Source organism: Homo sapiens, chromosome 13, assembly GCF_000001405.40.
Source record: "Homo sapiens chromosome 13, GRCh38.p14 Primary Assembly".
NCBI lineage: Eukaryota > Metazoa > Chordata > Mammalia > Primates > Hominidae > Homo > Homo sapiens.
The window spans coordinates 46,334,626-46,353,181 of NC_000013.11; the positions used below are offsets into that span (position 1 = coordinate 46,334,626).

The window sequence follows — 18,556 nt, forward strand, 5'->3', positions numbered from 1 at the left end:
TTATGATTCAGAAAGGAAGGGGGATGGACTAAGGGTAGGCAGGGGAGCTTGGAGGCCAGGGGGAAAAAAAACACTGAATTTTATACACAAAGTGATAGACAAGATGCTAAACATACTTTTCATAACTTATATCATTTAATCTGTACGACAACCTTGTGAGACAGATTGTCAGCATTTTACAAATAGGAAACCGGAGTCTTAAGAAATTTGAGCAACTTATCACAAATCACAGGACTAGAAGTGAAAGGATCCAAGTGCTTCTGGCTCTAAATTCTGGATCACTTAGACTCACTGTACCCCAAAGGAAAGTGGGGGAAGATTTGGGGGTATACTAAGGGCAAGAGGAATTTTTAAAGAGGTTCCTGATGGAGGGAAGAGAGGAACAGCTCAGGAAGTGGTGCAGGTCAAGCCCAACAGGAAACCTACTTGGGTAAAGAATTTGGACTTTTTTTTTTTTGAGATGGGGTCTCACTCTGTCACCCAGGCTGGAATGCAGTGGCGGGATCATGCCTCACTACAGCCTCAAACTCCTGGGCTCGATCGATCCTCCCACCTCAGCCTCCTGGGTAGCTGGGAATACTGGCACACACCATTGTGCCCAGCTAATTTGTGTCTTTTTGTTGTTGTTGTTGTTGTTTTTTTTTTTTTTTTTTTTTTTTTAAGAGACAGGGTCTCGCTATGTTGCACAGGCTGGTCACAAACTCCTGGGCTCAAGTCATCCTCCTGCATTGGCCTCCCAAAGTGCTGGGATTACAGACACGAGCCAGCACCCACCCAACTTAATTTTAAATTAAGTCTTCAGAGGGTTTAATCCACGGAGATAGACGATCTGATTTATGCTTTATAAACATTCTGGTGTTGTGTGGAGAATGGACTATAGAGGGGCAAGTGTGGAAAGAGGAGATAGGAGGTTTTTAATTAGGTTGAACCACACATGAAATTGCCACTTGGTAGCTCAACAATTATAAAATAGCAGCAATGCTACGTAGTTCAATCTAATAGAAGTTCAGGAGAGAGATGGTGGCTTGTACTGTAATAATGTCAGTGGCTGTGGTGAGCCATCAACTAAGATATATTTTGTAGGTAGAGCTGACAGAAGTTACTGATGGACTGGATCTGGGGAGTGAGGGAAAGGGAAAGGATGACTCCTAGGTGTTTGGCTTAAGCGACTGGGTCTATGGTGGTGCCATTTTCTGAGATGGAAAAGCCTGTAAAGAAATACTAATACAAGCACAGCTATCAGTGGGCTGCTGAGTACCAGCCTCTGGGCTGAAGCTACAAATTTAGAGTCATTCAAAGCTATTTCACTGGATAAGACCATCCCAAGAGAAGAAAAGAGATGGCAAAACTGAGCCCTGGAATCTCTGTCTTTATTTAGAGATGGACAGAGAAAGAAGAGGAAAACCTACAAAGGAGACCAAGAAAAGAGACCACTGTCTACAGAGGAAGGGGAGAAATCACAAATGTCATGATGTTTCCGGGTTCCAAAGCTTCCAGGAGGAAGGTGAATGGTTGCATCCATCCATCTGGTCTATCTGACAGCCGGCCCTGTTCTTTTTGGTTCACGTGGTCTTTAGTAATTTACTAAATAACCAAGAAAACCAGGAGCTTTGGGTACCAGGCAGCACCTCCATCATCAGACTCTACGAAGATGGAGTTTCAGGTGGTCCCCAACAGCTAATCTGATTTCTCCACTGTGGGCATGGACAGTAGAAATGCAACCATTACTCTTAAAAGTTGTATAGTACTGATCTCATTTATCATCTGTAATTTGTCATTAGTTTAAATGATCTATCATTTATTTAAAATGATATCTAGTCTATATGGTAAAATTTACAAAGAAAATTTTTGAAAATTATTCTAATCCCACTATACAGAGATAATCACCACCACAATATGATGAAATTCATTATAGTCTAGCTTTTCTTAGCTAGACTTTTTTATTTTATTATATTTTATTATAAAACAGTATTCTCTTTTGTTAAGAAGAATGCAAGCAACTGTGGTAGAGAGGTAGGTGAAGACAATACAGTGACTACTGAATTTAGATATTGCTAGTGACCTTGACGGTTTGGGTAGAATGGTTGAGATGGAAATGCTATTGTTGTAGGTAAAGGAAGAAAGAGGTGTGGAAGCGATGGCAAACATTAAAAACTGTTCTTTCAAAAATGTTGCTGTGAAGAAGATCATAGAGGTAGAACTGGAAAGGAATGTGAGGTTAAAGAATTTTTTTCTCTCTGCATATTCCTTTATTTTTTAATGTAAGGAATACTAGATAATATGGATAACTCAGAGGAGTAGAATAGTTTTTGATGTCTGCATGACTGTTATGGACTGAATATTTATATCTCCTCAAAAGTCATGTGTTGAAGACCTAACCCCCAATTGTGACAGTATTAGGAGGTGGAGCCTTTAGGTGGTGATTAGGTCATGAGGGTGAGGCCCTCACAAAGGGAATTAGTGCCCTTGTAAAACAGACCCCAGGGGGTTCTCTCTCTCTCTCTTTTCCTTTTTCTTTTTTTGGGGGCAGGGAGGGGGGACCAAGTCTCACTCTGTTGTCAGGCTGGAGTACAGTGGCGTGATCTCAGCTCACCGCAACCTTCAACTCCCTGGTTCAAGCGATTCTTCTGCCTCAGCCTCCCGAGTAGCTGGGATTACAGGCACTTGCGACCACACCTAATTTTTGTATTTTTAGTAAAGACTGGGTTTCACCATGTTGGCCAGGATGGTCTCAATCTCCTGACCTCGTGATATGCCTGTCTCAGCCTGAGGCATATATCTCAACTTTGGGAGTGCTGGGATTACAAGTGTGAGCCACCGTGCCTGGTCCGCTCTCTCTCCTTTCTACCATGTAAGGATACAGTGAGATAGTGCCATCTATGAACCAGGAAGTGGTCCCTCAATAGACATCAAATCTGCTGTTGTCTTGATCTTGGACTTCCTAGCCTCCAGAACTGTTAGCAGTAAGTTTCTGTTGTTTATTATCCACCTAGCGTAAGGTATTTTATTATAGCAGCCTAAACAGACTACGACAGTGACAAACCTGTTCCCTCAGTACTCATCCCCTGGACAACAGGTATCAGGACATCTTATGTTAGTCAGAGTAGGGTGGGTTACACTGTAGGAACCAGCCCCACAAAAATCTCAGGAACTGAACAAAATAAAGGTTTATTCTTGCTTGTAAAAAGTCCAATGCAGGCACCGCACTCCTGAGTAGTTCTATTTCAAACAATCACTCAGGGAGCTGGGTAGGGCCCTCAGGAATGTGGACCTTCAGGGGCTGCAGGAGCAAAGGGAGAATAAAGTCTCTCTCATAGCTTCCAAGAGACTTTCAAGGGCAGATAGAAAGGATCAAAGGCTGCCAAAAGTTCAGAGAGCTGTCCCCAGTAGAATAATGAGGTAAATGCAGATATCAGAGTGTAAGGAGAAGGGAGCATGTGTGTGCACGTGCAGTACGCTGAAGAATGGGCAAGATCGGGAGGGAGATGAAAAGGGGAAGCGCCCACCACTCCCATCTGCAGAGCCCATGCAAGAGTACAAATACAGGTCCACATGCCATATATCCAAGTATTTAAAATTTGAAATATGTTTTATCTTCCTACCATGGTGAATATCCCTTCATCAGGACCCGAGAAAGCAGGTTTGAATTTTGAAATCTTTGACTCCTCACTGCTCTGCTCTGGAGCATGGTGGCTCAGGTATAGCTAGCATTGGGCCAACCCCTGCCCCTCTCTCTTCCCACTTTGGCTCCATCCTACAAGCAGCTGCCCCTTGGCTGCCTCTTGGTCTTAGCAGCGCAGTTCACTTTCAGGAGGCTGGACCAGGGGAAAGACCTGAGCAGCCCTAAAAGTGGGGTTGAGACCACAGGGCAGGGGATTCTGTCTGGGGCTCCATTTGATCTAACAGGAGGGGTGGGGGCTTTGGGTGCGCTTGCCCTTTGTCTCCTCACCAATGGGGATGTACGTAGCCCGAGGAAGGCCAGAGCAGGGCCTCTTTCCAGGATGAAAGGGCAGTCCTGATCCCAGGCAAGGGATGCAAGAAGAACAAGACCATGGAGGCAGGAACACGGCAGGACTAGAAAAGAGGGGGCAGCCCTGGGGAGAAAGAAGCCTGGAAGCACAAGCAGAGGCCAGAAAATGTTCAAGGAAGGGCTGGGCGCGGTGGCTCACACCTGTAATCCAAGCACTTTGGGAGGCCGAGGCGGGTAGATCACTTCTGAGACCAGCCTGGCCAACATGGCGAAACCCCGTCTCTACCAAAAACAGAAAAAAATTAGCTGGGCATGGTGGCACATGCCTGTGGTCCCAGCTACTAGGGAAGCTGAGGCAGGAAAATCGCTTGAACCGGGAAGCAGAGGCTGCAGTGAACTGAGATCACGCCAACTGCACTCCAGCCTGGGCGACAGAGCGAGACCCTGTCTCAAAAAAAAAAAAAAAAGTGCAAGGAAAAATACACAATTTGCTTAACCTATGTGGTTAAGCTCTTCAATCCTCAGTCCCCTTGGCTTGGAGAGCTGCCCAGATATGCGAGGATGCAAAGGTTCTCGATTTCTCATGTTTGTGCTGAAGCTTCCCAATTGTGTCTGCAGCCTGCTACCTCAGCATTACTCATAAAAGTATTGTTTTAGTTTCTAGTGAAGTGAAAAAGGGGAACTACGGTTTTCCTTCCCATACCAGTTGAGAAATTATTTAAAGACAGAGATCCTTAAATGCTTGTTTTAAGGAAGCACGCTTCTAAAAATGACACACTTCACCCTCCTTTGGCGATGAGTTCAGGAAGGCTTCCTGCAGGTAGCATCTGACGGTGGCTAAGCCAGCCATGCAGGCTCAGACCTGGGGGCAGAAACTGAATGTCAAACCCCTTCCTGACATGTCTACCACGTTCCTTCCAGCAGGTTTGAATTCCGAAGTCTCAGACAAATGACCACACTCTGGGTGGTTTAAAACAACAGGGTCAGGCGCAGTGGCTCAGGCCTGTAATCCCAGCACTTTTGGAAGCCGAAGCAGGCAGATCACCTGAGGTCAGGGGTTAGAGACCAGCCTTGCCAACATGGTGAAAACCCGTCTCTACTAAAAATACAAAAATTATCCAGGCCTGGTGGCGTGCGCCTGCAATCCCAGCTACTCGGGAGGGTGAGACAGGAAAATCACTTGAACCCAGGTGGCGGAGGTTGAAGTGAGCTGAGATCGCACCACTGCACTATAGCCTGGGTGACAGAGCAAGACTCCATTTCAAAAAAACAAAAACAAAAACAAAACAAAACAAAAAAACCCCAGGAATTTATTCTCTCATAATTCTCAATGTCAGAAGTTTGAAATCAAGGGGTCAGCCATGTTGGGTTTTTTTTTTAAGGCTCTGAGGAAGAATCTGCCCCCTGCCTCTCTCCGGCTTCTGGGGGCTGCCAGCAATTCTTGGTGCTCCTTGGCTTGTAGATGCATCACCCCAACCTCTGCTTTTTTTCTTCCCTGCATCTTCTCTCTTCTCTCAATTTCCCTTTTCTTATAAGGACACCAGTCACTAGATCAAAACTCATCCTAATGCACTATGTCCTCATCCTAACTTAACCACCTCTGCAAAGACCCTACTTCCCAAAAGGCCACAGCACAGACACCAGCATAGACCTTTAACATATTCTTTCATGGGACACAATTCAACCCACAACAGTAGCTATTGTTCTAATCCTTGTATTACAGATTATAAACTGAGACCCAGGGAGTAACTTACCCAGAGATACAGAAAATAAGGGGTATGACTCAGTTTGTAATCTGTCTAGACCTCATTATTACCATTTGCCCTTGCTTGTACCAGGCCTTTTAGTGGGTGCTTCATTTTCATTTCTAATCCTTATCTCAACTGCAGAGAGTCATATCCCTCATTTTACAAACAGAGGCTTAGATAATTTAAATGGCTTCCCCAGTGTCTGAGTCTATTTGTGTTGCTATAAAGGAATACCTGAGGCTGGGTGATTTATAAAGAAAAGAGGTTAATTTGGCTTATGGTTCTGCGGGCTGTACAAGCATCGCACCAATATCTGCTTCTGGTTAGGACTTGTGGCTGCTTCCACTCATGGTGGAGGGGAAGGGGAGCCTGCGTGTGCAGACTCCCCTTGTATGGAAACAGAGGAGGCAAAGAGAGGGCAGGGAGGTGCCAGGCTTCATAACAACCAGCTCTCATGGGAACTAAGAGTGAGAACTCACTCATCACCACAAAGGTGCCACCAAGCTATTCTTGAGGGATCCACCCGCATGACCCAAACACCTCTTATTAGGCCTACCTTCAACACTGGGGATCAAATTTCACCATGAGGTTTGCAGGAGTCAAACAAGCCAAACTAGAGCACCAAGTCACCATGGGTAGGTAGAAAGTGGCATATTTGGGATCTAATCTGAAGTTGTGGCCAATAATTCTCACCCAGGTCAACACACCAGACATCTTTGGGATGGCTTGCTCCTCCTCATCCTATAGCCTCTGCCTTGAGATGGTGTAACTTCCTCCCTGCAGTTGAGAATCATGACTGTAAATGACACACTACTGGAATTGCCCATGTGAAGAGTGCAGAGGCAGAAAATGAATCACTGACCTTTACAGCACTGCAACTGATGCCTCACAGTGGGTAATGGTCTGACCAAGCATTCATCTTCTTTCCGGCAGCCAAGGAAGAGTTGAACAGAAAACCCACACAATCAGGAAGACCCATTAAACAGCTATATATGCCACAACTAATTACTTCCTTATGGGGTGCTCCATGTGGGCTGAAGATCACTTCCCTAACAGGTGCCTTCCTGGGAAGAAGCCTCTATTATCACATTGGAGAGGAACAAAGTCTCAGACAAATCCCATACTGCAGTTATTTAAATGACCTCATTCTTCCTCAAAATAGAAAATCAAAAGCATCACTTCCTGGCAACTGCTGTGCACTCTTCCTTAATATCAAAGATATGTAACACACACAGGCTCATCAGTGCCTTACAAACATACAAACCCTGAGCACAGAGCCCTTCAAGCAATGCTTGAGCCATAGCAGCTGCCTTAAATCAACACTGATGTGAGAAAACACTCTGCCCAATGCCACTTCTGCAAGTTGGAGCAACACTTACCAGTTAAGGTTGTTTTTACTCCTTTGTCTTGAAAAGACACCACAAAAGAAGCAGGGCCTAAGCATGGGCTTTGGAGGCAGGTGGACTTGAATGTCAACCCCAGCTCCATCATGCACTTCCTGTGGGAACCTAGGAAAGTTATTTCTCTTCTCTAGGCCTCAGTTTCCTTGCCTGTAAATGGAGATATAGACATCTGCCTCAGAAAGGAATGTGAACATACCACTCTTACCCTTGATTCTTAACAGGGAATAGGAGCAATGGGCAAGAATGAAACATTGTTTGAAGTCTGGTTTTATTTATTCTATGTGCCTCTACACTTCTATAATACTTAGAAAAGATCTGGCTTAAATAATGGATGTGAGCACAGTTCTGGCAGAGGCACTGCGGATGAGAAAACAATTGACAGAATGAGAAGACTGAATGAAAAGAGATTGACAGAAGTCATTCATTTCTTTCATGTGCTCAGTACTATCCCATTGAATAAAACACACTCATACACATGGCTGGATGGGGTTAGGGGACAATCTGTGACGCTTTATTGCCTGCCTGTGCTGTCTGAGAAAATCAAGGTAGGTTTAGTTAGGGCATGTGAATCCCAGGGAATGTAATGCCCAAGCCCTAGGTTGCAAACCGTTCAGTCTAAAGGTATACCATGAAGGGACCCAGCCTCAAGGCCCCTTTCTCAAGTGGGAGAAAGTATATAGAAAGTAGAAGAAAAAAGAATAGGCTCACATGTTTCAGGAAAACATATAAGAACTATTAGAAAAAAGAAATTCATAAAGGTTTTGTGATTCATTTAACCTTATTAGTCAATGTCTATGATTTTAATGTTATTACTAGAATCACACTGTTCATTATTTCCCCCAGTTCGTTTAAATCTGCAAATACCTTATGTTCAGTTTTACATCTGTTAAAGCAAGATCCTCAAGGGCAGGGATGGAATTCTACTCACTTCTGCATCCCTTGACATTGCAGTGTGTGGAACAGAGATGACAAATACAGGTTCAATTTGTGCCACCTGAAAGAGTGCCATCTAGAAGCAGTTGCTTCAAACTGCACTTCAACGGGACCCACACGCCCTGCTAAGCAACTCAAACTCATCATGAAATAAATCTGCAGAAGAAATGTGTACTCTCTATTCAAACTCTGAAGTAAATAAAATGTGTATGATTGACACAATCACAAAATGGCATTTAAGTGGAAGTCTGCTTCCTGAAGAAATAAAAGCCAGAGCAAACAGATTTGGGGTCATATTTTTGTTCACTGAAAGGACCAACCAGTTTCATCAAACAAGCTTTAGAGAAAGAGAAACTGAGTAATTCATCTTGTCAGTTACAGTTCACATATATGCACACACATACAAACTGGCTCAGCATCAGTGAAACATAACTATTCAAATACAAAAGTATAAAAAACCTCTTTAAAAAACCAATAGCAGCCAAAACAGAACATTTGTAAACAAAACCACAACTATCAGCCCTGTGCTTAAACACAGAATCTGCATTCTTTTGAAACATTAAGTATATGCAATAAAGAGAATATAGACCATCTTTTTCCTTAATATACAATACCCAATATCTAAAACAATGTCACCAATAATAGACACAAATCGGTGTTATCATAAGGCATGTTGAACAGTCTTTTTCACAGTACTCAGGGGCATCATGTTGCTGCAGAGGCCACACTTTCCAGAAGTTTTCTCCTCGCTGTGATCCTCGCACACCGGGGGCACTCGGAGGACTGGAAGCACTGTTTGTGAAAGCAAGCCCTGCACGCTGCAAGCAAGGAAGAGAGCCGTTAGCAAACGGTCTATCTTGTTTTCTCACATTTCTGCAGACATTCGTCTCCATCCTAGGGAGGGAGAGGGGTCTGAATCCAGAGCCCAGAGTCTTCTAAAAAGAAACCAGCCAGGCTGAAACGCACGTTTCAGCAGGTCACATTTCAGCAGACCTGTTGGACTCTTCCAACAGGTCATGAACAGGAGGCTCAGAGAGCCTGATGTAACGGACACTGCAGTGCCCCCTGGATCTGCTCAAGCACTGAGGCAGGCGTTTCCCCAGCTGCCAAGAGAGGTGGTGGCTGATAACTCTTGGGAAGCCACATTGTTTCTCTAGATATGGCCCTACATCGAGAAAGCTGCTTTGTCCCCTTCCTGGCACCAGCCTGCATTCAATGACTGATCACTATATAGTGAGTAGGCCGGCCCCAATTTGTCCCCAGTTTGGAACAATGCTGAAAGGCCACCAAACTCCAGAGCTCCCCGTGAGATGAGCTGAGGGCTCCACTGCAACCCCACCACAGTTCAACTTCTCCCTCTCCCAGTCTTGCTGCCTGCACACCCCTACAGGTATTAAGTTGAAGAACATGAAACTTTTTGTAGGCAAGTCTCTGCCCCAGAGTCTCTTTGCTGGGGAGCCAGTCCTGCAACACTGCCTAAAGGGTTGGGGAGACAACACTGGAGTGGCCTGAGAGGAGGATATGCCCCTATCAAGGGTGAAGGCAGAGTTCATTACCAGGATCTCTCCCATTAAACAGAGTTTACAGAACACGGGATTCTCTCGGGCACTAATACCACAGAAGGGTCGGCAACCTTTTCTGTAAAGAGCCAGATAGCAAATGTTTTAGACCCTGAGGGCCATGTGGTCTCTACAACAGCTACTCAACTCTGCCTCCGTGGCACAAAAGCAGCCAGAGACTTCACCACTGGGCATGAATGATCCAATTACAAGACAGAGAGGTGGGCACAGGCAACAAAGGGACCATCTCCTCTATCCAAACCCTGCACCAGAAGACATTATCCTTTATCCCTGCCCCACCCAAATACTCCTCCTTCTGTGCCCAAAACTTCATTATCTCCAATCCAGCATACAAGCACACACCAGCATGACTGTACTTTAAATAACTGTGCTTAAATTATTAAGCTATTATTCAGCTTAAGTTAATTTTGTGCTTAAGTTACTAAACTTAGTTTAATTAGTTAACCTATTATTAAGCTTATGTTATTAAGTTATTAAATACCTGAACATCTTCTACATGTTGCTGTCTGAAATGGGAAGATGACAGTCGTATTCTGGCAAAATTCACAAATAAAGCCCTTTCCTTGACACAGCTGTAAAAGAAGACATCAAAAAGTTACAACCTTCTCTTGATGGATAAGCTGAGTTTTCACTATTACAGAACTTTATAAACATCAGTGTTTCAGTGTCTATGATTCCAGCCTCTAGAAGGAAAAGGATGTTGTTTTGCAGCAATGAATGGGTCAGAATCAAAAAAAAGATAAAAATGTACATTCAACCAATTCCATATCAAAGCAGTTTTAAAGTACCAGAGTAAGGTCCTAATTGTAAACATGCACTCTGAAATGATCTAATTTCATTTATCATTGCTGCACTACAATTCTTCAATCCGTGTAGACACAGAGCCTCCTGTTCCATTGAATCCTGGTTCCACATGACTATACTTGGTGCATCAGGGCAGAGTGGGCCCTGAGCAGAACTGGGCACCCAGATGAAGTCCATTGGTCCAGGCTTGCATCCCGGCTCTGCCACTTACCAGCAGGGGTATCTCAGCTGTTACTTCACAGCTCTGACCTCAGTTTTCTCATCTCTAACTAGGTCACCGGCACTTCCCTCAGGGTTTGTGAGAGTTAAATGAAGTCAAGTGCGGAACACCCAGCACAGGCCCTGGTGCATCGGGAACGAATCTGCTCTGGGTGCACCCTCACCTCACAGCCAGCCACATGTGCAAGGGAAGCTTTCAGAATGTCCTTGAGTAAGGGTGCCAGCAGCCCTTTCTTGATCCTGACCAGGTCCTCAAGGGAGAACAGGTGGAGCTCATCAGTCAAGTGTCCCGGCACCTGCTCGAACTCCTTTAATGCACTGCCAGAGAGGAAACAAAGAGGAATTCAGAAACCCACCCACACAGAGGACAGGGAAGAATGGGGCCAGTTGTTTTCTCTTGGCACTCACACTTAATTTTTTTTTAACTCAATTTAAAAAATAAATAGCTCCAAGAACAACAGTGAACCATGCTCGCCACCATTCTACATGTTGCAAGTTTGCTTGGAAGCCAGGAAGTTAAAATTCCATGAAAGCTGATTTCAAAAAGCTGAATAAGCAGAGACCTGTATCTCTTACAGCCTGCCCATGCACACATTGAGCAAAAGAAAACTGAGCATTAGTTTTTTAGGTCTTAAAGAATGTGAACCTAGTACCCTTTGATTACCAAGTAATCAAAATTCCTACCTTATTTCTTCCAGCTACATTTCAAGTCTATCAGCCTTATGGACTGTTGGCTCAGCTGCGAAAATTCTCACTCACTCGGCAAGCCTATGACTTCCAAATGCACGAGTCAGGCACTGAGCTTAAGGCTCATGCAGCCAACTGCCAGTGGTCATGGTCCCTAGGGCATTCAAAACTTCATCTTCTCCAAACCCGGCAGGTGTCGACCTGAATTCTCTCAATGGCTAGTAGAAGCACTATTCCCTGCACTTCCAAGACAGCCATGGCCTACACTGGACTTGGCATGCTACAATGCCAAATTCTCTTCAATTCTGCACCCAGCCTGAGGTGCCCACTCCTGCGGCATCCTCTGCCTGGAGAATCCCCAATCCCTCTTCTTTGCTCCACCTTACTCTTCAAGCTCAGCCTTTTTCTCCTGGAATCCTTGCTTGCGGTCTACCCTATCTCACTCCTAACTGAGCTAAATGCTGCCTCCGTTTGTATCCTCATGGTCCCCCGACACGTGTCTAACACTCAGTCCAGCAGTGATCGGTTGGTGCTGACCATCCCCCTGGACTTAATACAGATCTACTAATTTTTTTTATCTGAAGCCCAGAATGGATATTCAAGATTTTTTGTACAAGGTAGGAAGTATAGGTATTGTTCTATGTTGTGGATGAAAAAACCGAGGCCCTGAGACCAATGCCACGCCAAGGCCATGAAGCAAAGGCTCAAAACCAAATGACTCCAGAATACATGCTCCTTCCCCCAAAATTTAATTAAAAAGCAATACATCATCATTAAAGATTAGAGACTGAAAAAAACGCTTTAAAGCTAAACCATTTATTTAAAAACTCTATAATTCCACCAAGTACAATAAACAATCTTAACTTCCTTGAGCAACCTATGCTTTTTCTACTTAAAAATCTCTCTCTCAATGAATTCATGCCTAAGTCTTTACTGGTTGTATAGTATTCTATTCTACGGACATGGTATTAATGTAAGTACTGCCCTATTACGAACACCTAGATTTTTAAAATAATTTCAACTTTTATTTTAGATTTGGGGGTATGTGTGCAGGTTTGTTACACAGGTATATCGCAGGACACTGAGGTTTGGAGTATCAATGATCCCATCACCCAGGGAGAGAGCATAATACCTCTTAATAGACTTTTAATGCCTTTTCTTATTTAAAAACAAAACTAGTAACCCCAGCACTTTGGGAGGCTGAGGCAGGCGGATCACCTGAGGTCGGGAGTTTAAGACCAGCCTGGCCAACATGGTGAAACCTTGTCTCTACTAAAAATAACAAAAATTAGCCAGGTGTGATGGCACATGTCTGTAATCCCACCTACTTGGGAGGGTGAGGCACGAGAATCGCTTGAACCTGGGAGGCAGAGGCTGCAGTGAGCCAAGACTGTACCACTGCACGCCAAACTGGGTGACAGAGCTAGACTCTGTCTTAAAACAAAACCAAAAACAACAAAAAAAACTATACTTTAAATCTCTACCTATATCCATCGGTATGTCCTTAGGATAAACTTCCAAAAGTACAATTTTTGAAGACCATGGTTCCACTTGGTTAGACATGCCTCCCTATAAGGGGTTTTAAAAGGCCCCTGGTATACTCATGGTCATATCCACTTTATTCACAATAGCCAAGGAGGGGAAGCAACCCTAGTGTCCATGGATGAATAGATGGATTAAAAAAATGTAGTATATACATACAATGAAATATTATTCAAACTTAAGAAGGAAGGAAATTCTGGCTGGGCGCGGTGGCTCATGCCTGTAATCCCAGCACTTTGGGAGGCCGAGGCGGGCAGATCACGAGGTCAGGAGATCGAGACCATCCTGGCTAACATGATGAAACCCTGTCTCTACTAAAAACACACAAAAAATTAGCCGGATGTGGTTGCGGGCGCCTGTAGTCCCAGCTACTTGGGAGGCTGAGGCAGGAGACTGGCGTGAACCCGGGAGGCGGAGCTTGCAGTGAGCCGAGATCGCGCCACTGCACTCCAGCCTGGGCGACAGAAGGAGACTCCGTCTCAAAAAAAAAGAAGGAAGGAAATTCTGACACATGCTACAACATGAATGAACCTTGAGGACTTTATGCTAAGTCAAACAAGCCAGTCACAAAAAGACAAATACTGTAAGATTCCTCTTATATAAGGCATGTGTGTGGGCAAAATCATGGAGACAGAAAGTAGAATAGTGGCTGCCAGGAGTTAGGCTAAGAGGAAGAGGGAATGGGGAGTTGTTAAATGATACAGAGTTTTAGTTTTGCAAGATGAAAAGAGTTTGGGGGCTGCATGGTGGTGATGATTGCATAACGATGTTAATACTTTAATGCCACTGAAGTGTATTCTAAAAATGGTTAAGATGGTAAATTTTATATGTATTTACCACAATTTAATGATAACAATAATAATAATAAAAAGGTCACTGGCTAGAGTTGTTCATCCTCCAACTAAACCATTCTTCTTAATGAGTTAAATTCTCCATTATACGGTTAGGCTGTGTCCCCACCCAAATCTCATCTTGAACTGTAGCTCCCATAATTCCCACATGTCATGGAAGGAGCCTGGTGGGAGGTAATTGAATCATGAGGCACGTCTTTCCTGTGTTGTTCTCATGGTAGTGAATAAGTCTCACGAGATTTGATTTTTTTTTTTTTTTTGAGACGGAATCTCGTTCTGTCTCTAGGCTGGAGTTCAGTGGTGCGATCTTGATTCACTGCAACCTCTGCCTCCCAGGTTCAAGCGATTCTCCTGCCTCAGCCTCCCAAGTAGCTGGGACTACAGGCATGCAGCACCACGCCTAGCTAATTTTTGTAATTTTAGTAGAGACAGAGTTTCACCATGTTGGCCAGGATGGTCTCGATCTCTTGACCTCGTGATCCACCCACCTCGGCCTCCCAAAGTACTGGGATTACAGGTGTGAGCCACCGTGCCTGGCTGATCTGATGGCTTTATAAAGGAGAGTTCCCCTGCAAATGCTCTCTCTTTGCCTGCCACCATGTAAGACGTGCTTTTGCTCCTTGTTCACTTTCTACCATGATTGTGAGGCCTCCCCAGCTATGCAAAACTGTGAGTCAATTAAACCTCTTTCCTTTATAAATTACCCAATCTCTGGTATGACTTTATTAGCTACTTGAGAACAGACTAATGCATCCCACTATTGGCTTAGTAATTCAAAGAGATGGCATGATTTCCCAAGGAAAGCCATGAGGTCATCACTGTGCTAAGAAGCCCTGTGTAATGGGGGAGCCAGATGCAGGAGGCACTAATAGGATTAGCAGATGTATGGAGGGAAGGCAGCCTGTCCCAGCTGAGAATAGTACCTGTTAGCAAACCTACAGGTCTTCAACAGCTTCTTGATATGGAAGAGCTGCTCCTGAATTTCCTAATGGGAGAAACCAAACACGGGGAAAAGTTAAATGTAATAAATGACACGGGAAAAGTGCAAGTCAAATTTAAATGTTATTTCTAAGCTTGAAATGCTGCACTTGTATAAAACAAACCTTGAAAGCAAACCGCCTATACAGCAAGCCTTCACAACTGAGTCTGCTGATCCACAAAGTGTGCCCTGGATGGATCCAGGTTTTGTAGAACCTAAAACTTACAGAACTTTGGGGCCTTCTTCAAGAAAAACATAATACTAAGTATAAGATTCAGTGTGGGGCCTTGGAAAGAGCCTGTGCAGGAGAGGGGCTCCAAAGTGTAAGCTTCACTAATTTTTTTTTTTTTTTTGAGACAGGGTCTTGCTCTGTCACCCAGGCTGGAGTGCAGTAGTGCAATCTCGGCTTGCTGCAACCTCCACCTCCCGGGTTCAAGCGATTCTCCTGCCTCAGCCTCTCGAGTAGCTGGGATTACAGGCGTGTGCTACTATACCTGACTAATTTTTTTTTTTTTAATTTCTAGTAGAGATGGGATTTCACCATGTTGGCCAGGCTAGTCTCGAACTCCTGACCTCAGGCAATCCGCCCACCTTGGCCTCTCAAAGTGCTGGGATTACAGGTGTGAGCCCCTGCGCCCAGCCGCTTCACTCGCTTTATGATCCATTTGCCTCTTAGAGGATGTATCTGTGGGTTCCCCAAGCTAGTGTGATGTGCATTTCCTGCCACAGGACACTTCCAATGAGAGGGATGGGGTTGGGGCTGCGGCTCACCTTCACTCTGTCCAGCTCCTTGGCTTTCGCATACAGGCTTTGGCCGATGCTCAGCAAATTGAAAATGGGCTGGTGCCATATGCTGTCGAGCAGCTGTTTGGAGAAATTGCTGACGTAGTACTTCTTGAAGTCCCACATCATCAGGATTCGGGCAGGGATGCACGACTCTGCATATGAGTGGCAGCAGTCACAGAAATACTTCCCTAGGTATTCGCAGTACCGGAGCCGCTTCACAAACTCTGCCAAGCATACCGGAGGGTGAGTGCCACACCTGGTGCTGAAAACCTATCCTGGTATACCCCGACTTCCAATTCCTACGCAAGATTCAAAGACTCTGATGACTTGTTTCATGATGATAAAGCCATACTCAACCTCATGACAGCTGGGAAGGCTCCAGCAGAGACTTGGGGAATTAAATCATGGCCATTCATGAGCTCTGCTCTTGTGGAACAGACGTCAGAAAAACAAAACCTTCCCAAAATACTCCTGGATTTGGAAGATGGAAATTGCAAACTGCAGTGTAGCAAAAGGAACATTCATTTTAGGATCTGGAAATCTGGGTGGGAGTCCAGACTCCTCTCACTAGCAGGAAGACTGAAGGCAGGTTAGGCTAACTATTCTGAGACCACAAAATGCAACTCAGAACTGGATCGAGTGTTATTACACATAGGAAAAGTGCTTTATAAATTGTGAAGCAGTATATATACAATGTTAGGAAGCAGCATCATAAAGACCTTGATAAATCAATGAGAAAAAAATACAAAAATGCACAAAGGATGGGAATAGGTAATTCACGGAAAGAAGAAATGCAGATAACTAACAGAGAAAAACAATCTCAGAAACAAAAAAATGCATATTTTAAAAGTGAGGCTGAGCACAGTGGCTTGTACCAGTAATCCTAGCACTTTGGGAGGCCAAGATGGGAGGACTGCTTGAGCCCAGGAGTTCAAGACCAGCGTGGGCAACATAGTGGGACCCCATCTCCACAGAAAAAAAAAAAAAATTAGCCAGGCAATGTGGTGTGTGCCTGTGGTCCTAGCTACTTGGGAGGCTAAGGCAGGAGGATTGCTTGAAGGTGGAGGCTACAGTGAGCCATCATCATGTCACTGCATTCCATCCAGCCTGGGCAACAGAGCGAGACCCTGTCACAAATTGATGACAAATAATAAAATTAAATTGAAATGAAATGAAAGAAAAGAAAAGTGAGATACTCTGTTTTGACTCAGCCTGTCATAAATTTAGAAGACCCAGAACTGGTGCAGTATCTAGAGGAGGGCACTTACGTCTAGCACTGATAGAACTAATTTGTAGGAAGACATTTTTGTGATAGACTTCAATTCTCACATGTGTAACAGTAATCCTGCTTCTGTTACTCCATCAGACAGAAGTGCTAACAGGCACACATAGTGATATAAAAAGGTGTTCATTACAGCACATTTATAATGGGGGTGGCAGCCAAAATGTCCATCAAAAGGCAATTGGTTAAATAAGTATGGTGCACTCAACATGAAATGCTGTACAGCCCATAAAGTACACGGAAGAGCATAGGAAGTGGACATCCAGTTACAAATAGGTATAATGTGATCTCAATTTTATTTAAGAACATATATATAAACATACACATAAACATATATTCACTGTCTAAATCCCCACCAAAAAGCCAACAGTGACTATTTCTGGAGGGTAGGAGAAAGAAGGAATTTTTGCTCTTTACACTTTTTTTTTTTTTTTTTTGAGAAGGAGTCTCGCTCTGTTGCCCAGGCTGGAGTGCAGTGGCATGATCTCAGTTCAGTGCAACCTCTCCCTCCTGGGTTCAAGTGATTCTCCTGCCTCAGCCTCCCCGGTAGTTGGGACTACAGGGCGTGCCACCATGCCCGGCTAATTTTTGTATTTTTAGTAGAGATGGGGTTTCACTATGTTGGCCAGGCTGGTCTCAAACTCCTGACCTCAAGTGATCCACTCATGTTGGCCTCCCAAAGTGTTGGGATTACAGGCGTGAGCCACCACGCCCACTGCACTTTCTAACCTACTAAAATAAACACTCATTGACCACTTTTGGAAATGTGTCTAATAAAATACATTAACAAACAAAAGGTATAAAAACTAATGCAACAAATACCTGTGCACTCACCACCCAGCTTCAGAAAGAAAACAATTCAGTTGAAGTCTTCTATGTGCCCCTCCCTCAACACTAGGTTCTGACATGAACCAAGTTTGATATTTATCATTCATAGTTTGAGTCATGTACGTCTTTGTAACTAAAATACCATACAGCATAACAGAAATCTTAGTTGCCATATACTGGGAGGATTAATGAAATCATGGATGGGAAAGCAGCTGCTGTAGAACCCGTACACTGTAGATTCTGAAGATCATTTCCAAATAATGGCTTTAAAAATAAACAAGGCCTGGCCGGGTGCGGTGGCTCACACCTGTAATCGCAGCACTTTGGGAGGCCGAGGTGGGCAGATCACCTGAGGTTGGGAATTTGAGACCAGCCTGACCAACACGGAGAAACCCCATCTCCACTAAAAATACAAAATTAGATTGGAGTGGCGGTGCATGCTTGTAATCCCTGCTACTTGGGAGGCTGAGGCAGGAGAATTGCTTGAACCCGGGAGGCAGAGGTTGCAGTGAGCCAAGATTGCGCCATTGCGCTCCAGCCTGGGTGGGCAACAAGCGTGAAACTCCATCTCAAAAAAATAAAAATAAAAAATAAACAAGGCCTGGCTGGGAGCGACCACAGAAATGAATCTTGCTGAGTACTTACTCTGTGCCACAGATCAGTTAAATGTTTTACATTTACTATGTCATTCTGTGCTCGAAAGTCTGTGAGAGAGGGACAGTTATTTCCCCTATTTCACTGATGAAAGCACAAGACACTGAAGTTAGGCAACACGCAGGGCCACACGAACAGTATGTAGGCAGGCAGGATTCCAACCCAAGCCTGGACTGCGAAAGCTCCAGCCCACAGCCATCATGTCCCACTCCTCCTCCGCTGCATTCGATGGTGGGAAAGGGAGAGGGAGCTAACGCCTTTGCACTTGCCCAAATTGTCCCTCAGACCCA

The 18,556-nt window shown here is 44.4% G+C and overlaps 1 protein-coding gene across 8 annotated transcripts in view, besides 1 other annotated feature; it reads right to left on the reverse strand.

The window, feature by feature from the left end:
- RUBCNL (rubicon like autophagy enhancer) overlaps positions 56-18,556 on the reverse strand; it is a 55,362-nt gene continuing 36,861 nt past the window's right edge. For 4 of the 8 annotated variants that reach the window (NM_001286761.2, NM_001286764.3, NM_001349772.2 and 1 more), the window contains 5 exons: positions 15,488-15,726; positions 14,661-14,722; positions 10,822-10,975; positions 10,116-10,206; positions 7,114-8,872 (listed from right to left, as the gene is read on the reverse strand). In NM_001286761.2, the coding sequence (NP_001273690.1) occupies positions 8,760-8,872; positions 10,116-10,206; positions 10,822-10,975; positions 14,661-14,722; positions 15,488-15,726 (659 nt within the window). In that variant the 3' untranslated portion in view covers positions 7,114-8,759. Of the gene's footprint in view, positions 8,873-10,115; positions 10,207-10,821; positions 10,976-14,660; positions 14,723-15,487; positions 15,727-18,556 lie in introns of all 8 variants that reach the window. The other 4 variants (NM_001286766.3, NM_001286765.3, NM_025113.5 and 1 more) reach the window with 2 other exon arrangements.
- Positions 4,487-4,566: an enhancer, noted in NCBI's record as "active region_7694". NCBI's record gives its function as "activates an Ori minimal core promoter by ATAC-STARR-seq in GM12878 lymphoblastoid cells {active_cell/tissue: GM12878}" and the evidence as "EXISTENCE:reporter gene assay evidence [ECO:0000049][PMID:35858748]".